Genomic DNA, 17328 nt, shown 5'->3' with positions numbered 1-17328 from the left:
AGAGAGAAAACATACTTGAATACGGTCACTCAGGTCCTAAGTGGTCCTGATAAGGATAAAACCCAGCTATGTTAGATGCTACCATGAAATGTGCAACCAGATTCAAACCTCCCAAGAGTTTATACAGTCTGACGACTCAAAAAGACAAACTTCTCATTATGCTGAAAATGAAACTGCCTAGACTTGTCATTCCACACCATATGGCTGAATCCCAGCTGATAAGAAGCTCATTTCTGCAACCCACTGGGCTCATTTCACTGAGTAGGTTGATGCAAGATTTGTGGGGTGGTCATTTCCAAGTCTTTTTAGCATTGACAGCAGCAGTGATATTTATTTTGATGCTTCCTTTCTACATTTCACATAAAAAAGCAAATGTTCCTAATGATGAAGAGAGACAGATTTTATCCTACATTATGCTCTAAATGAAATATCACAAACATAGCTGCAAACAACAACGAAAATACCCACCTGCTTTGAAGTGACCAAAACCTATAATCATTTCCCAGTCTTCAGTCTAAGTGAATGTGGGGGTGGGGTAGGGTAGAGGTTAAGTTCTGAAGTGATACCATCACAGAGTTTTGGATGTTAAGATTAAGCCAAAGTGTCTGGACGTTTAAAATTATCCTATGCCATTGCAAAGTCAGATTTTAAAGTGGTGAAGTGACTCATGATGCACCAAGGAATTAACAGGAAGTGCCAAATTCACTTGCATAGAATGATCTGGGTGTGAGATAACACCACTTTTTCCCCTAGGCATTTTTGTTTTACAGCTGGTACAGCAAAGTTTTTTGTTTTTGTTTTTGTTTTTTGAGACAGAGTCTCACTATATTGCCCAGGCTGGAGTACAGTGGCACGATCTTGGCTCTCTGCAACCTCCACCACCTGGGTTCAAGCAATTCTCCTGCCTCAGCCTCCCCAGTAGCTGGGATTACAGCTGTGTGCCACCACACCTGGATAATTTTTATATTTTTAGTAGAGACGGGGTTTCACCATGTTGGTCAGGCTGGTCTTGAAATCCTGACCTCATGATCCACCTGCACTGGGCTCCCAAAGTGCTGGGATTACAGATGTGAGCCACTGCGCCTGGCCCAAAGTGCTCTTAAACATGAGGATAGCTCGAAGTCTCTGGGTTTCCCTCCACACCAGCCAAGAATTAAAATAGAAAATGCCATTTCTACAAAAAGAGGAAAGCATAAATTGTGAAAATAGGAAAAGTCTTAGGAACATATTTACATGTAGTGAAGTGCACCGAGGCTGGAGTCTATAGGCAGGGATTTGAACATGGGCCCTTCCACTTACTGGCACTTGATCTTGGGCAATGTTCCCCTTCTGAAAATGAGACCAGATAGAGGCCACAGCAAGTATAGGGCTTTAAGGTAAAGCCCTCTATGTCCAACATGCCAGGTTGTGAATTCTAGCTGTCAGCCATGCTTTGGTTCACCTTTCCCTATGGCTCAGCTCAATTGTGTCAACTGTAAAACAGGGGTGATAAAAATGGTGTCTACCCCACAAGGTGTTTCTGAGGTGTAAATATAATACTGCATATCAAGCATAGTACCTAAATCATAGCAAGTAATCAATAGACCTTTTATAAAAAGAGTATCCACATAAGGGGTTTTAAAAAATAAGTTATAAGCAGTCCCCAGAGGACACAGAGGGGGAAAAGAATCAAACTATACTAAGACTCCAATGTCTCAAGTCTCCCCTTTCAAATCCTCACCGACATGGTTTGGCTGTGTCTCCGCTCAAATCTGATCTTGAATTGTAGCAACCATAGTCCCATGAACCCAGTTGGAGATAATTGAATCATAGGGGTGGGTTTTTTCCTAGGCTGTTCTTATGATCGTGAATAAGTCTCATGAGATCTGATGGTTGCATAAAGGGCAGTTTTCCTGCATGTGCTCTCTTGCCTGCCTCCATGTAAAATGTGTCTTTGTTCTTCCTTTGCTTTCTGTCATGATTGTGAGGCCTCTCCAGCCATTTGGAACTGTCAGTCCATTAAACCTCTTTTTCTTTATAAATTACCCAGTCTAGGGTATGTCTTTATTAGCAGGGTGAGAACAGACTAATATACTCGCCTACAACCCAGAGAAATCTTGGTCTTTCATCTATTTTATTTATTGGGACTATGTATGAAATTTTATTTTTAAAAGCTTTGGTCACTGGAAAACATTGTATAAAAATATCTTCTCTAGGTAACTCTAATTTTACAGATATAAAAAAGCAAGGCCCTGAAAGAAAAAGGGAGTTGTTTCAGATCATGCCACACATAAACCACTGACCAGGGATTAGACTGCACCTGGCTTTATCATCTCTGCACCCTGCATTTTTGCCTCCATTAAGCCCCATAAGGATGGTCACTTCCATCTTTTGACTATGCTGAGCTCATGATGGCCAGGATGAGACTGGGACAGGACAGTATAATGGGGACAGTAAGAGTGTTAAGGAAGTCAGGGGCAAATACAAGTGGGAGAGTCGGGGGTGAGGTGATGGAATATATATGCACACATGTACATATGCGTGCATTTGACCATGATAGGCATTCAAGATCCACTGAATTTGAGAGGCTGGCAGAATATCCAGATAAAGAAGATCCAGAATTCAAGGAAGATACCAGACTGGAGATGAAGCTCTAAGAGTCATCCAGAAAGGAAATTAGACATGTATGTGTACTGAGAGAGGAAGAGAGAAATAGACCAGACAAGCTGACTGTGGGAGGAGGTAAAGACCAAGAAAAAATACAGGAGTAATGGAAGATAAAGAAGATGCAAAGTGCAAATAATAATGCAGAGATAAATATAATTTCAGGTAAACGTACCTTATAATAATACTAATAATTTAAGATGATAACACCTAGCACTTATTGGACACTTAGTATTTTAGCCAACTCAGTACTTTACATAGATGATTTCATTCAATCTTTTTAGCAGTCTCAGAAGATAGATACTTCTATTATACCAATTTTATAAACAGGTAAGCAAGCAGGCACAGAGAGATTAGATACTTTGCTTAAGGTTACACAGCTAGCAAAGGATAGAAATTGGGTTAAAAACAGGCTAATTCTAGAGCCTGAGATTTTAATCACTATGCTACAGTGAATCTCAGGGAGCTAAAGAAGGAAAAGTAGAATTAGCATTAATAGTAATAGTAGTATAAGTAGTAACAGCAGCAGCAGCACCTACTGTTGACTGAGCACTATTTTGTGCTAGGGGCTCTGATAAGTGGATGTAACAGAGTCTCATTTAACCTTAGGGACAACTCAAGATGGGAGATGTTCTTAGCCTTATTGAGCAGAAAAGGAAACTGGCTCAGTGATGCCAGCAACTTGCCCAAAGTCACAAAACTAGTGGGTGACAGCAGGAATTAAAAACCCGGTCAGCTGGAGTTCTAGGATCCTTAAATCACCATGCTAGATCATTTCAGCATACAGCCATAAAAGATTCATTTGCTATGTGCTCAAATTCAATAATTCCAACAGTGGGATCATAGAAATTTCTGCAAATATTTTTAATAACGAATTCTCAGTGTTTTCACCATAGCTTCTAATTCAGTAAATCAGAGTTGGAACTATGAACCTAAACCCTTCCAAAGTTTCCTAGATGATTCTTCAGTTGCAACCAGGTTTAGGAATCACTGCATCATGTATGCAAGTCTGGAATGCGTCAAGCACGCCTGCCAGTCTGTGAGTACAGGATGTTCTAAATGAGACTTCTTTGGATGAGCACTCATTTTCACACAAAGCTCAGTGTTGAAAGATGTGCCAAAAAGACTTGACAGCTTGAGAAATTTCCACTAGGGGACCAGACTCAGGGAGGTTCAACTGCCTTGCTTTAAAAGAATCCAGGAAACTGGCCTAAATCACTCTTCTAGACACCATTTGTCTTAGTCAGTTCAGGCTGCTGTAACAAAGTACCATAGCCTGGGTGGCTTATAAACAACAGAAATTGATTTCTCACAGTTCTGGAGGCTTAAAGTCTGAGATCAGATACGAGCCTGGTCAGGTTCTGGTGAGGCTCCTATTCCAGGTTGCAGACTGCTGACTTCTTGTACCCTCTCATGTCAGAGAGGGATCTCTGGTCTTCTCATCCCCTTGGAAGGACACTAATCCCATTCATGAGGGCTCAACCCTCATGACTTAATTACCCCTCAAGGCTCCACCTCCTAATACCATTATCTTGGGAGTTAGGATTTCGATATATGAATTTTGGGAGGACATATCCTGTTCATAACACCATTTTGCTTCTCCTCTAAAATGTACACAGTAGCATCAAACAAGTTAAATGATTCAAGTTTCCTTACCTAAAACTCGTAATCTTTCAGCTCCTACTACCACTTCATTATTGTCTGCAGAGAAGAGCAATTTTCCAGAAACAGTTTTTACCTCAAATTTTTTACCATAAGCTTCTACGGCTTTTGGACCTGAGAGATATAGAGAGATAGAGAGATAGAGAGGAGAGAGGAGAGAGAGAGAGAGAAAACACCATTAGTCTCATCGCTTTGACTACAAAAAGCTTTTCATAGAACACACATATCTAACAAGATTGTATGAGACTTCAATGTTCAGTGGACTGGTTTTCAAAAGCTGACCATGAAAATCAGTCTCATGACTTTAGCCAGGTCTTGTCAATTACTTTTAGTAATATATTCTTGGGCTATAATTTTGAAGACCAGCAAGCCCTTCCTCCAAACTAATCCTTGACTGTGATTTCCCTCAGCTAACCACCAAATTGCTGTCAAATAGTTGTGGATTTTTGCTTGCATTTCTCAAGGCACCAGAGGCTCAACACTTCTCGAGACAATCACATATCTTTGGCCCTCCCTAATTATCAGAAAGAGCTTTTTAAAATTCAGCTGAAATGTGTTTAACTTTGTACCCTTAACCCACTGGCTGCATTTGACACCAAGAGAAATTTATTTCCTTAGTATACAGATCATTTCATAGCAGAAATGGTTACTGTAATTAATTGCCTTAGAAGTTGTTCAATCTTTTATATTAGGATTTTGTTCAGTGAAAACTAAATTTAGATAGTTTATCAGATGACAACAGATGCTGTTCTTGAATGTGGAGCTGTAATACTGCACAAGGAAATCAAGCCCGATTCCATAGCATCTATATTCTGATGGAGACACACCAATATACATTTAAAATTTTATTATTAAACCAGAAAACTGCAGAAAGATTTAGGTACCATGGAAAAAGTAAACCAGGTTGATGAGCTAGAATTTCTAAAAGAAGAAAGCATTCCAATCTATCTGAGCTGGATCTACTGGATCTACCTGAATACCTAAATTTCATGGGGTTCTCAAAAGCTGGTCTACAGAAACACACAGGAATAATCCAGGAGTATAATCATTCTCACTGAACCTAGCTCAGATCAAAAGAAATTCATCTTTTCAACTAGAAGTTCCTACAGAAAAAAATTTGAGGGTAGAGTCTAGAAATCTTATACTTTTTCCAAAATTGTTCAGAAGATTCTGACATGGAATTGTTTTCTTTCTGGTATTTTTCAAAAGAGTGTCACTTAATAATAAATAGCAATGAGAGAGTCCCCAGTGCCTTCCAGCCAAAGACCACTAGGAACACACCTGTTGTTGAACAAATTGGGTTTATTACTCATTGCAGTGAGGGACAACACACACCATAAGGAAAACCATAGGGCATCTCAGAAAGAAGTCATGAGAAAGGACTTATCAGAGAATGTGACCTTATATTAGCTTATTTTGGGGAACGTTTAAGGAAATAAGGCTCTACCCTGGATTAAATACTATCAGAAAATGGGAGTAAATCTTATCTAGAACAAAGACAGACCAGGGAAATGCAAAAAATGTGGTGAATAAAGAAACAGAGTCACTCTTATTAGCCAGGATAGGGGGATGTTTGGTCTTTTTTGTGGTCTGGACAATGTTGATAGTTTTGCTATGTACACACATGACCAGAGTTGTGTTTGTGTGTTTGTGTTGTTTTGTCTTGATCCATCATGGCCACTGAACAGCCTTGTCTGGTGCGCGTGTTCTGAAAAATTACATTGAAGCAGGAGAATGCTAAGGCTGGGCTGATAGTGCCAACCAGCCACTGGGCATCTGGGGTGGCTTTTCTCTTTGTCAAGACTGTCGGACTAGGAATCAGAAGACATGAATTATTTCCCAACTCATTCTTATTCTGTGATAACATGATTTGGGGCAAATCATTTGATCTTTCTGAACCTCAGTTTCTGCATCTATAACATTGGACTATCACTGCCTACTGTATCTATCTATGTTATAGAAAGTTTGAAAGAATCAAATGACATTGTGTTTATAAAAAGAAATCTATGGGTGGTAAAGTGCTGTGAGTGTAGGAAACCACTCCTGTGGACATCACCACTCTTGTGGATGTCGCCATTCTACTGCAATGGGACAACACGTGGAAAAGAATGCATGATGAGTACTTATTAGTGCACTCTCCTTACTCACATAATCACATCTATTAAGCAGACCTCATCCCTTGCCAGTGTGTCCACACCAGCCCTCCAACACAAAGAAGGACATTGGAAAGGCTCCCTAATGAGTAGGAGATTGAAACAGCAGAGATAGGACAGCACTTCCAAGCATGATGGAACCCGGAAGTCATCTTATCTGACCACTTTGATGCTGCAGATGAGGAGAACAAATGGGGGCAAGGCGGAGGGCTCTCGCAAGGTTAGAGACAATGGCAGGTCTCAGTCTGGAATGGAGCTCTGAGAATTATTCCACAGAAGGAAAGGGGCATTTATTTGTCTAGGAAGGAGAAGGGAGCTGGGGCCAGCACATCTGGAAGAGCCAGGAAATAAGATCTGTGAGGAGAAGGAGAAATAGAAAACTGGAGACAAGGGCCAGAAGGAAATCTTGAAAGAGCTGAGATGTCCAATGAGGGATTTGGCTTCAGTTTTTCTGCAAAGGCTAAGATGTAGCTATCTTCTTGATGGCATCAAAACCTTGAATAAAATCTATATTATATTGTCAGTGCTTTAGGGTTATTACTTTATTTTTGTGAGGAGGGAGATTGAGAATGGGAAGGTAATGAAGTACTAACGAATGAATGAATGACCTCAGGATGGGCACAGGGCGAGCAGTTTGCCCATTTTTGTTCCATTCATATAAAAAAGCAGTTGTATAACTTGGGGACACACATGCTTGGACTTCTCTGTGGACCTGGGCAATATCATCATCCTGGTCCCTGAGGAGTTAAGGACACCTTCCTGTGTTACTTTGAATTCATGAACAGCTGTGAGACATACAGAAGCATATACTAAAGGACTATAGCAGTATAGAAAGTATGCTTCAGCAATCAGAGAACACAAAGTACAATTAAGCTATCTTGCTTTTCAGGGCTTCACAGAACATAAAGTGGAATTCACCAAGAGCCACAACCCTTTGGGTATCTGAAGCTCAGTAATTGGTAGTTTTAGCCAAAACCCCACAGAGCAACTGCTGGCTCAGTGGTGCAGATGGCTTGTCCTTTGTTGATTTCACCTGAGGCTGCAAAATTCCCTGGACATGGCTGGAATCCTTAAAAATGACTCTAGAGAAAAATGCAAATGGAGCTGGAGACAGCTCAGGAGGTCACATGTTGAACTCATTGTTCCTCTCTGGGAAGAAAAAAACCACTATTCCTAATGTGAAACTAATCTTGAATTAATCCCCCTCTGTGTAGTCTATGTGTGGAGTGCCTCCTTAATTAATCTCCTAAACAGGGAGGAGAACTGGAGCCCCATCAAAATGCATCAACAGTCTCCATGAGTCTGGGAGGTGCAAAGGCCTGGTGGCCTTCAAGCCTAATTTCTCTTCCCAACTCTCTTAACACTAGAACCCTTCCCCACTCCCTCATGATGCTGTCCAAAGCATCTCCACTGCTTTCCTCCATGTAGGTGGGAGGGTTCCCCATTCAGACCCACTACTGAGATACTAAATCAGCAGCCTGCCTTATGGTCAAATAGGCATTCGTGATCTAATTTGAGAACTTAACTATCATGTGAAGTATTGTTTCCTGTGAAAAGACTTCCTGGACATCTAACATTAGAATTTCTAATGGGTTTTTGAGACATTCTTTAGGTAAACAGAATTCTTTATTCCTCAGGATAGCCTTTGTAGACCTCATTGCTTAGAAGACAGGAGTGATTTGTTTTCCAACAAGTACAGCACCCAGCACAACAGGCATTAGAAGGTATTGTCTGCTGGGATGGCTGGGTGCTTTTCCACTGTGTGCATTAATGTAATGTAAAAGGAGAGTATTGAAGGAAAACTTTTAAGGGTGTATTGTTGCATGTGTGTATGTGTGTGTGTGTGTTTAGAATGATGTTTTAAACATATCTAATGTCTTCTCTAGAATTCATCATAGGGAGACAGAAAACAAATACCAAATACCACTGGAGGGATAGAGTCAAGAATAGTGACACAGGAGGAGGGAGAAGGAGGAAGAAACAAGGGAAGAGAGGAAGAAGAAGAGAGACGAGAAGAGAGAAGGGGAAGGAAAGGGATAAAGGGGTGGTAGGAGAGAGGGGAAGGAATAGGGAGAGAAGCACTGAAGGGGAGGGGAAAAGGGGTGTCAGAAGGGTAGGGAGAGAAGGGAGAGGAAGAGTGGGGGGAAAAAAAGAGACTGACTCACTCTTTTGCTGAATAATAGTCATTTGGGCAGTTCCAGATTTATCAAAACAAAATCTCAAATAAACCAAATCTCCCACTACAAATAAATGGGAAATGATCAACAGGCTAAATAAGTTCCTTTTGAATGTGAAAATCTGGGAGCTGGAGGTTGGATTTATTACCCTCCTGGAGGCAATTTTCACACACGCTGCTTAAATCATTGCTTACTGAAGCTGTTTATTTAATTATTTAGCATTGTGACTGTGGGCCAGATGTTATATAAGCAAGGTGGAAGATCCAGTCACACGCTGAAACAACATGTTTATGGATTATGGGCTCTGCCGGGCAGCAGTTCCTTCAATCCCTGAGTTTCTTGATTGGCAGATGGTCCAAGTCACCCACTGGCTATGAATCTCTAGACATCTACATGCAGCACTCCAGGGGAAGAGTGGGAGTGAGGCTCCCTCCCCAGGAGTGAAGACTATGGTCACAAAGGTACCTGTTTCCCCATGGCTTATTAGTGGGTTCCAGATATTTTATTCACAATAACAGTAATGTTTCGAGGCATTTGGGTAACTGGCTTCTCAAAATGTCCATCCGTATACTTTACTTTTAGCCCTGAAGCCAAACAAATGGCATTTTCTGTCTGTAAGTATAACAATGCCATTCATACATACATTCCTTTTCCCTTCCACTGTGGGGGTGCATAATGCCTCCCTGTTCACTGCTTACAGAGTGGGCATTGATTGTGCTGCTCAACACGTTACCAAATCACGAGGTCCATGTTTATCATTATAATCATTATTGTGAATAACCAGTCCTTGTTTAGATTTCAGGAATTTGTAGTTTAAAACACAGTGGGTGCTTTCCACAGCCGTTAGGCACAGATCTGCTGTATTAAAAGAAATTACACACAAACATATTCAGTAAAGATACATCCACATCCTGCAATTGAGTTAGGTTCAAAGTCAGCACGTACAGCAAATATGGCATGGGTTCAAACTATAGTTAAAAATCCCTTTCACAGCCCATAAAGTATGGTCCCTGGCTTTATAGATACTGCATTCTTCTCTCAACCAATCCAACACAGCCTGTTTTTCCTCCAGCATTGGAGCAAGAAGCTTTTCTTTGGCTGAGCACCTGATGAAGCAGCTGGTTTATATTTAGGGGCCATGTTCTATGAAAATCTGCTTAGAAAAATTTTTTTTCTTACCCCACTAAGTAGGTATCATTAGATTTCATAAGTTTAATATGTGTACGGATGGGATTCTACCCTCTAGTAGAATCATGGAACACATGCTACATTCTCTTTCTCAACAATGTGTTAGCACACTTTATTTTCAGGTTCATATGGTGTTTCCTTTGACCATTAATTCTGTATTCTGAGTGCCTCGCATGGGCTAGGCACTGTTAAGTTCTCCCTTTTCTTACCTGTTATAAGCTGAGTTAGCACTTTAGTCTGGTCATTGAGAATGTTCACTGTAACATTTCTGGCAGACTTGAAGTACAGGGCATTACCCTGCAATAAGAAAATAAGAGAAAGACATGAAAATGATAGATTTCTAAACAAAAAGAACTGTCATTACAACTCTCCAAGGGGCTGAAATGGCTTTAGCCAAGTTCCAATCAATGTGTCTTTACTCAAAAACTCCAAATGTTTAAAGATCCCTATGTACATGATAATTAACTAGCATCTATCTAAAACAGATTTCTTCCAAAGAAATGCACACACACACACACACACACACACACACACACACAATATAGATTCCCCCAGAACACACACACATTATTATGGTTGAATCAGAGAAAATTAAGACACAAAGCCCATTAGATCTTACTGAAAATATTAGTCTTGGTATACAGAATGATCAGAAATGAATGATAATCTCCTAATGTCATCCTTTCTTCAAAAGACCCATGCAGAGTCCTTATAGAAGAGCAGGAAGGTTCTGTAAAATACCCAAGATCTGCCCCTCGGGCATACCCACCAACTATAAGAATCCTTTGTAGAGATGTTTGCAATGCATGTATACAAAACCCAGGAGATCTGATGTCCCCAAGTATGCTTCTGCCTCCGTTTTCTTCCTTTTCTTGTCTCCAGATTCCTTTTCCTCTAGGCCGTCTGTGCCTGTATCTACTCTGCCCTTTATCTAAAGGGCTCCCCAACTTTTTCACACAGTGGTACACATTTCTGGGCATGACTCAGAATAGGGCTTGGCACACTTTTTATTGAAAGTCTTGAGACTGAATATTTCAGGCTTCATGGGATGTATGTCCCTGTTGTAACTACTCAACTCTGCTGTTTTGGTGTAAAACTTGCCTTAGGCCATATGTAAACAAAGAGGGTATGACTGTATTTCATTAAATATTATTCATGGAAAATGACATCTAAATTTCATAAAATTTTAATTTTATATTTAAAATTTAATATAATCTGAATATGACATGAGATATTCTTTTTGTGTTTTGTCTCCCCCTCCCACCACTTAAAAACATGAAAACCATTCTTAGATCACTGGTGATACAAGAAGAGGCAGAGGGTTGAATGTAGCTCAAAGGCCACTGCGTGCTAACACTTGGTTTAGAAGTTGTCATTTTCTTAGAGGAAACTAAAGCCATAAATTAAAGGATGAATCTCTGACACAGAACATGGAAAAAGGAATCTGGTAGCCATTCCTGGCTTTTGGAACCTTTGTCACTATCTGGTATATTACTGCCTGAAAATTCAATAATAGCTCAATGCTTTGAGCCCCAAATACATAAAAATCATTGTCCTACAAGTTGTGAGCAAGCAGAAGACAGGCAAAGTTCAGTCTTTACCTTCTAAGTCTTATATTCTAATGGAGACCAGGAGATGGTCACAAATATGCTAGCCAGAGAATAGCAAGAGTGATTTCGGAGCTATGAGATGTTTGGGGGACTTCCCTGAAGGGTGAGATTATTCTCAGTTTGGGGCTGTGGAGCAGGAAGCAAAGAAGAATTCCTGAAGGAATGAACACTTGGGCTAAGCCTTGAAAAGAATAGACACAATTTTATCAAGTTGAAATGAAAAAAGAAAGTCATAGAGGTAAGAAAATTGTGGGCTGTCTAATGTCTTTTTCCTTCTAAAACTGGTGGGGATGCAGACTGGATTGGCCAGCCCAGTCCAGTCACCTGCACATGGCAGAATGGCAGCCAACACCCATCCCCAGGTGGCTTTCAAAAGTGGAGGAAAGGGGAGGGAATATGATATCACTTCAATCAAGATTTATGCTCTCCTGGTATGAAAGGTGCAGATTTTCATATTTGTATTTGATAGCAACCATATCATCACAGCCTGTTTTGATGTGATGTGGCTGACAGAAGTTACTTACCTTAATAATCCTACAGTGTAGTATATTTTCCTTGCTCTCTGAAGAGCTAACAATCTGATCTGGGAATTCAGATAAATAGTGAAAACCACGAGACAGCACACAACAACTCCCACATTCAGGAAGGGCTTTGAACTCTTAGCGTGGCTGGAATCCTGAGGGGAGACTTGCCAGAGGAAAACTTGGCTTATTTTCACCTTTCCTCCTAACAAAAGGGCAGGCTGGTCACAGCAGCACTGTTTCTATCTAACACTAACTTAGGTAACAAGTGAGACTGACCTTGTAAAGTAAAGGTTCAGAGTGTGAGCTCTGGAGGCAAACAATTTAGGCTTTATAACAACTCCACTTCTATGGTAATTGTATGGCCTTGGGTAAATCATTTCTCTTTTAGTTTCTGTTTAGTTTCTGCATCTGTGAAATGAAGTTAAAGGCTACATAATGATGTTGAAAAAAAGACCCCCCAAAATAAAGAAAAATATGTGTAAAGTACCTGAAATGACTCTAGAACCACTTTAAAACTATAAACAAACAAACAAAAGCTACATGAGGAGAGCTCCTTAGAGAAATGGCTGGCACAAGAAATCCTCAACAGGAGGCTGCAGCATCTTTTAATGCCAGAAAGGAAGTGTTTAAAAAACAAAAAAACCAAAATCTTACAATCATAGGGATATGTCAAAGTGACACAGAAGACAACTGAAAGAGCTTTCAACAGCTAAAGCTGAAAGCATTTGAGGAACAAAACAAATAATGCAGTATTGTATTATAACCCAGAGCATAAAATAAATATCCATGAGTCTATACAAATATAAATGAACAGATAAATGAGGTTGAATAGTCAAATCTACCCAGACAGAGGAATTCCAAAAAATCTACATAGATTAAATCCTCACTCCTTAATGGTGATCTGTGCCTAGTATCTTCATTTCAAAGAGCACCGTATAGAAAGGGGAAATAAAAGAGTAATTTTACATTTGAGATATCTGACCAACACTACCTCAGCCAGCTAACCAAAAGCAACATCAAGACTGGTATATCATGTTGATAGCATGCACCCTTGATATGATAAAAAGACAATGGCACTTTGCCTCTGTGGTCTTCCTCCTCAACATCCATAATCCCCATCTAAACACGAGGAAATAGCAAATATCAATTGACAGCCATTTTACAAAATACCTTATCAGTACCCTTCAAAACTGTCGAGGTCATCAAAACCAAAGAAAATCTGAGACACTATCACAGCCAAGAGCGTAGGGAGATATGAGAGCTATACATAAGGTGGTTTCCGGGATACAATCCTTGGACAGAAAAAGGATATTACTTTAAAAAAAAAAAACACCAAAGTAATCAAAATAAAGGGTGGACTTTAGTTAATAATAATGTATCATTATTGGTTCATTAATTGTGACAAAATTTACCTACTAATATTAGATGTTAATAGGAAAGCCTGAGTTTGGGATGTATAGAAATACCCTTGTACTTGCTTCACAGTTTTATGGTACATATAAAACTATGATAAAATACAAAGTTTTTTTATTATATAATTGAAAGCTGTATTAGGCTGCAAAATTCTAAGATCTTGAGTTTCAGAAAGAGACCTTGGAAAGGCCCCCATCTTTGAGTTGGCAGGGAGTCTGATACACTGTGAACACATGATTTCACTTTTGATCACATTAGAAAATTCTCCCTTATACTGAGACAAAATATATTTCCATGAGATTTTGCCTTTGGAAATACTAAAGGAATAGTCCATGGGTCCTCTCACAGCAAATTCTTCACCCAGGGCTCTCTCTGCACAAGCACTCTTCTGGAAGGCTCTCAACACTGGGTAGTCAGAACATAGTGACTTCTCCACAGTCATCACAATGCATTGGTCGCAGTGCTCTATGTTTACTAAAATAACACTAACTTTGAATATCACCTGGAAAAAACTGGCTTCTACAAAGTGAGATTTGTCATTAAAATCATTTTCAAAGGATAGTTTGTAAGTTTTTCTTCAGCAGGCATCAAATATCTCTATTATTAACATTATTATTTTCAATAGGATGCTTTAAGTTGTCTCTGAATTGATCCTTTTAAAAGCATAGCAAGTTACTGAAAAACAATACTATAGTACAGTTATTTCTATTTTCTTGGAGTCTCTTTTTATAAATATGCTTGGGTAGATTTCTATTGTTTTGAAATTTTTTTCCAGTCATGAATAATGAAGCTACACTGTGAAGCTCTTTCTCAAAATAAGCTGGGAAACAGTCCATTTTTCCCATTGTAGCATTCCTATTCAGCTACTCTCTGCACTGTGCCCAAATTTGGGAGCATTTTGGTCTCTCTCAATACTTCACTAAGTTTAGCTGTTTTCTCTCAATGATTTCTTTGAGAGGTCATGTTCATCTGTCACCACTGCAAGGGGACTGCCAGCTTTTCTAGTGCCCCACATATTCCTGGCACCCATTAGGCTTTCAATAAATATTTGCTGAATAACTGAATGCTCAGATCAAATTAAGAGTCAACAGAGAGTGAGAGTTGTCAACAAAAGAAATAATTACATAAAAGTTGACAGTAACTGTCAGTTTTCAAAAGGCAAGCCATTAAGCATGAGTGATGTTATAATCTAAACATATAAAAAGCAGTGTGGTGGGAGGAGGCCATATAGATATATAGCCAGCAAATATTTGTTCACTTCCTAATGCAGTGCAAGGAATGGTAGAAGATACAAATTAGACTTGAGATGTTGAGTCTCTAGGTGACAGAAAGAAGCATAGGTGACAGAAAGAAGCAGGAGCACACATTATTACTCAAATTCTTGTGGACATAAAGGTCAAAACATGCCTGGAATCTGTGCTGGGCATGTAGCACTCATCTGGCATGTGGTAGTGAATGTGCCCTCTTTCAACTGCCCCTTATTAATCCACTGTATTAACATTTTCATCTGTCTTCTAAGCATAAAGCACTGTTCTAAAGGCTGAGCAGGTAGCCCCTGGTCTGCCGGAGTCTACAAACTACCAGGGGGCATAGACACTTAACTGAGTTCTGTAAGCGATCATATAATTGCAGTCTCAACGTTTGCAGTGAACACAAAGTAGAAGGTGAAATGAGATCACATGCAGTGAGACCTCCTCTAACTCGGGTGGTCAGGAAAGACCTTGTTAGGGGAGAGACATTTTAGCAAAAACATAGACAAGTGTATTTGGCCCTCTGCAAAAAAGAGCTTGGTATATACTTAAGGGACAGAGAGAAAGACTATGTGCTTGGAGTTTGATGCTTAAGGGAGATAGAAAAATTTAATATTGCCCATGCTGTTCTTTGATGAACAGAAATGTTTAATTTTGATGTAAGAAAACGTTTGTTTCTACTAATGGATTGCGTCTTGGGATTTCACAAAGAAATCCTTTCCTTTCCTAGTTCATTCTATATATTTTCTTCTATCAACATTTGAGTTTTACTTTTCATATTAAGTCTTTATTCTCTCTGGAGTCTACTTCAGTATGTAGTTATGTAGGAATTCAAATGGAAGGCAGTTTCCTCAACACTATCTACCAAACAATCATTATTTTTTCCCACTATTATGTGGTATCACTTTGGTACATATTAATTCCCAAATATATTTGAGTCTGACTCAGACTTGTAGGCTGTCTTATTGTCTATTTATCTATTCTTGTACCAATGTCATATTATCTTTGTTTCTGTGGCTTTGTGGTATGTCCAGATATCTGGTAAGTCTATCTACCCATTTTGCCTTCATACTCCATTTTAACGGTTTTGAATTTTCTTCAGAAATGAGAAGTCACTGAAGAGTTTTAAGCAGGAGAAGGTGTGAACTAAACATGATCACTCTGGTTACCTTGTGGCATCTGCTAGAAAGAGGAGTACATGATATGAGTGGCCAGGTGGGAGATTATTGTAGTCATTCAGCTAAGAAACAATAGCAACCTGAACTGGAGTGGAGGTAGGGCAAGACAAGTTACATTTTGAGAACTGGCAGGGGTTGGTAACTGATGGGGCTTGGGAATGAGAAAGGAGGCAGAGTGAGGGATAATCCTCGTGTTGCTTGGCAATTGGAGAGGCAACAGCCATTTACTGAGCTACAGGGCAGGAGGTAAGGGAGTGAATATTTGAAGGCAGAGTTTGGTAGGTGAGAGGTTTGGGGCTTGAAGGTTCAGCTTTGGAAATGTTAAGTGTGAAATGCCTAGGAGTCTGATGTATTAGGGTGCACAGTTGGCATTGCCTTCAATCCTACATCATGTCTTTTAAGTTCCTCTGTGCCTTCCACTGTATACTAAAATCTCCTTTATGAAAATGTTCATAATTACACTATCTCAGCTGTCAACTCTCACAAAATTCTGTGCATTTCCATGTTGACTCTTTCTGGCAGCTTAAAATTTGCTTTCTGCTCTCTAGACATCATCAGTGGGGATCCTATAAGAGGGTAGACATATTAAAACACAATTGTTAACTTAAAGGTAATATCTCAAGGCAAATCTCTCATAGTTTGAAGGTTACAAAGAATTCAAAGAAGCTTCTCAGGAAGTGAAAAATCAGTGGTTCTCCTACTGTGTGTGTTTGTGTGTGTGTGTGTGTGTGCGCGTGCACATGCGTGCATGCATGCACCTGTGTGCGTCTGTGTGTGTCCAAAGGATAGTGGGGAGACGGGCTTGAATTACATACTTAGATCTAGGGATAAGGAAATCAGAAGGAGACATAAAATTAAGTTTTAATTCTAATTTGCTAGTCAAGCTTCCTGAAATGTAGCAAACTGCATAGGAGAAAAAAAATACTGATATATTTTCTTTAGGGGTGAGGTCAGATAAGAGGGTTAACTGGGATGCCTTGGCTAAGAATGACTTCCTCAATATCCAACCCAAGAGCCCAAAGCAACGGAGTGTAACCTGGATTCAGCTCTGTGGGAGTGCAGATGTCACAGAGATTGCTTTTGGGTGTGTAAAGAGGCAGATGTTTTATCCTTACATGGCTGTGGACAGGAATGCTAGAGCTCAATTGGTTGCCCTTTTATGCACCCATCACAGTACTGGGAACTATAAAAGAGCAGTACAAAAGGTACTAGATCTTTGTTCTGCATTTAGAAAGACAAAATTAACACTCATGTAACAACCCCAAACCCGTATGAGATCAGAGATAGGCTGGAAAGGTGGCACTTGACAATGAACAATGCACTCTTCTATGTTTCCAAGGTTACAATTTCATCTTCACAACATACAAAACAACATTTCTTCCAACAGCCTGAGCCTTCTTGCTAGCATTTTCCAGTGCTCTATAAAAAACTTTCCCATAATATATAAATAGCCATTCTTAAAAAATAAATTAAAAAAAAATTGAGCCCCCAGGTCCATTCCAAGACGGCTGAATAGGAACAGCTCTGGTC

The 17328-nt window shown here is 39.7% G+C and overlaps 1 protein-coding gene across 9 annotated transcripts in view; it reads right to left on the bottom strand.

Moving 5' to 3' along the window:
• SGCD (sarcoglycan delta) overlaps positions 1-17328 on the bottom strand; it is a 1039957-nt gene that overhangs the window by 168438 nt on the left and 854191 nt on the right. For all 9 annotated transcript variants that reach the window (XM_047417519.1, XM_047417518.1, XM_017009724.2 and 6 more), the window contains 2 exons: positions 10033-10120; positions 4300-4419 (listed from right to left, as the gene is read on the bottom strand). In XM_047417519.1, the coding sequence (XP_047273475.1) occupies positions 4300-4419; positions 10033-10120 (208 nt within the window). The remainder of the gene's footprint in view (positions 1-4299; positions 4420-10032; positions 10121-17328) is intronic.

This window comes from Homo sapiens, chromosome 5, assembly GCF_000001405.40.
Source record: "Homo sapiens chromosome 5, GRCh38.p14 Primary Assembly".
NCBI lineage: Eukaryota > Metazoa > Chordata > Mammalia > Primates > Hominidae > Homo > Homo sapiens.
The sequence above is the reverse complement of the archived record's forward strand: the minus strand, read 5'-3'. Positions and strand labels throughout refer to the sequence as shown.